The sequence below is a fragment of the Homo sapiens genome, chromosome 5 (assembly GCF_000001405.40).
Source record: "Homo sapiens chromosome 5, GRCh38.p14 Primary Assembly".
In the NCBI taxonomy this organism is placed as follows: Eukaryota; Metazoa; Chordata; class Mammalia; order Primates; family Hominidae; genus Homo; species Homo sapiens.
Genome location: NC_000005.10, coordinates 179,368,008 through 179,370,206, shown reverse-complemented (window position 1 = coordinate 179,370,206; position 2,199 = coordinate 179,368,008). Strand labels below are relative to the sequence as shown.

Here is a 2,199-nt window from a genome sequence, read left to right as displayed (position 1 = left end):
ACTGCTAAGCTAGGGTCTGTCCCCCACACCTCTAAAATCTGCAGCCAGCACCTGGGAGCCCCACGTTCAAGCCCCCAGCTCTTCTCCCGTCCAGCTGGTGCCAAGCTGATAATCGCCACAGTGGATGGGTGAACCCATGCTGCTTTTTTTCAATGATCTTCCTGCATCAGACCTGGAGCTCCAAGGCAGTGAAATTGGGGATCTCCAGCTTGACCCTCATAGGAGGCCAGCTCCCATCTCCTTCTCCACACTGGGGAGGCTAAACAGAGCAGGCACACATCAGGTGCTCCTTGCCCCTGGGGAAGGCCGTGTGACTCCAGATGACTCCAAAGAAATGTAACCAGACAATTGTCCCTGATCTCTATTCCCTCAGCAGCGCTGGAGAGGACCCTTTTCCTGAGGCCGGGCACTGCTGTCCCAGTTGAGGAGGGACAAATGCCAGGGTTTCGTGTGCACATCCCTGGAGAGGGGTTGGGGCCCCACATCTCTGCCAGGGTTTACGGCCTCTCCTTCTCTTGAATGGATAGGATTGGGCTAGAAATCAGAGGGGACCTGGGGGTGCCACAGGATTGGGCTCCGGGCCTAGGCCTGGGAGAATGAGATGGGGCCTGCAGATGGGGGTTAAAGGCCCCTCCCCCAGCCCAGGAACGGCAAAGGAGAAGTTGGAGAAGAAGAGCAATAATTGAACGCCTGTTATGTATGGACGCTGTGCCAGGCACTGGCAGCCGAGATCTGGGTGAGACCCCTCATGCCCCATCTGGGGGGCACACAGGGGCTTCCTCAAGGTCTGCACAGAAGGTGATGGGCGCTGAGATAGCTGTGAGCCTAGTCCTTTGTGTGTGGGGACAGAGCGAAGGCGGCTTTGGGAGGGGCTGGCCCCTGCACTGGTCTTGCGGGAGTGAGAGGCAGGAGGCCGGCTCCGCTTTGGCTTTGGCTTGCTGCATCGAGGGCTTCCTCTCCAGCCTCAGCCTTAGAGTCACCTGGAGCTGTGAGCCCAGGATGCCAGGAGCTCAGGGCTGGATTCCATGTGATCCAGGTTCCCAAGGGCTCCTCTCACCCATATGCTGCGAGTGGATGTCGGGAAGTGGAGGGTGCGTGCTGGAGCTGTTGAGGATCACCCTGTCCTTGTGCCCTCACTGCATATCCTCCCCATGGCTGTGGGGTGGCACTGGATCTCTGGCCAGGCCAGGTACAGGGCTGGGCCTAGCATAGCAGGGGCACAGGAAGGAGCCCCTGACTCCAGCCAGGGGAGGCACGAGGCTGTGCCTGGGGAGAGGTGCACGGGGTACAACAGAGGCCCACTGGGACCAGTGGCTCCAGGCAGAACCTGGCACATCTGCTCCTTAGCTCATCCATCTGTTCTGCAGACGAGTGTGTGGCCAGGGTGAGGAGGCGGGAGACAAGGCCTGGTTTGGGATTCCCAGCAGTGTCCCTGAGAGTTGGGCCTGAAGAACCTCAGGCCTGTCTTCCCCGAGGCAAGCCACGATCCCAGAGCACAGAAGAGGAGCGGATCACCTCCTGCAGAGCCACAAGGGTGGCTTGGAGATAGCTGCTGCAGGCAGGCCTGGGAACGGCCGTGGAGAAGAGAAAGGCCCAGGTCCTGGCTGGAGGTGGTGACGAGGCATAGCCTGGGACATTCCGTGAGTCCAAGTCCCACCCTCAACCTTGAGAATGAGGCTGGCGGTGCTGTTCCTGGCCAGTCTTGCATCCTCTGCACACACCCGGGGCCGCCTCATCCTCTTTCTCTGCTGCGGGCTGCAGCCTCCTCTCCCAAGTCTGTGCTCTGCTGGGTGCGGGGACCCTGCCTGGGGATGTGGACAGAGGAGGGCAGGTCCCTAAAATACCCAGGCTTTTTGCCCAGCGGGATCCATTAACCTTTTCACTAATGATCTGGACAGCTGAGGAGGCCATCGCCATGAGAGCCTGAGTCAGCAAAGGAGAGCGTTCCGAGGGCTCATTAGAGGAGAAATGCCAAGAGGTGCTGGGCTGGCAGGAAGCAGGGCAGGGGTTCGAGGGTGGGGCTGAAAGCCCTCCTCCCTGGGAGGACCTGGCATCTCGGGCCAGCCTGGAGGCCCCTGGAGAACGCTTGGCCCCGTAGCTAACCTGTCTAGTCTGCTGACCTCATCCATGTCCTCACCCGGCCTGGCCCTTCAGTAATAAACAGTCTCACAGCCACTTTACATCTCAAATGCCATCGCT

At 59.9% G+C, this 2,199-nt stretch overlaps 1 annotated feature.

The window, feature by feature from the left end:
* Positions 1,175-1,870: an enhancer, noted in NCBI's record as "H3K4me1 hESC enhancer chr5:178795338-178796033 (GRCh37/hg19 assembly coordinates)". NCBI's record gives its function as "activates a minimal SCP1, AML or CMV promoter by ChIP-STARR-seq in primed H9 embryonic stem cells {active_cell/tissue: H9 hESC(primed)}" and the evidence as "EXISTENCE:reporter gene assay evidence [ECO:0000049][PMID:30033119]".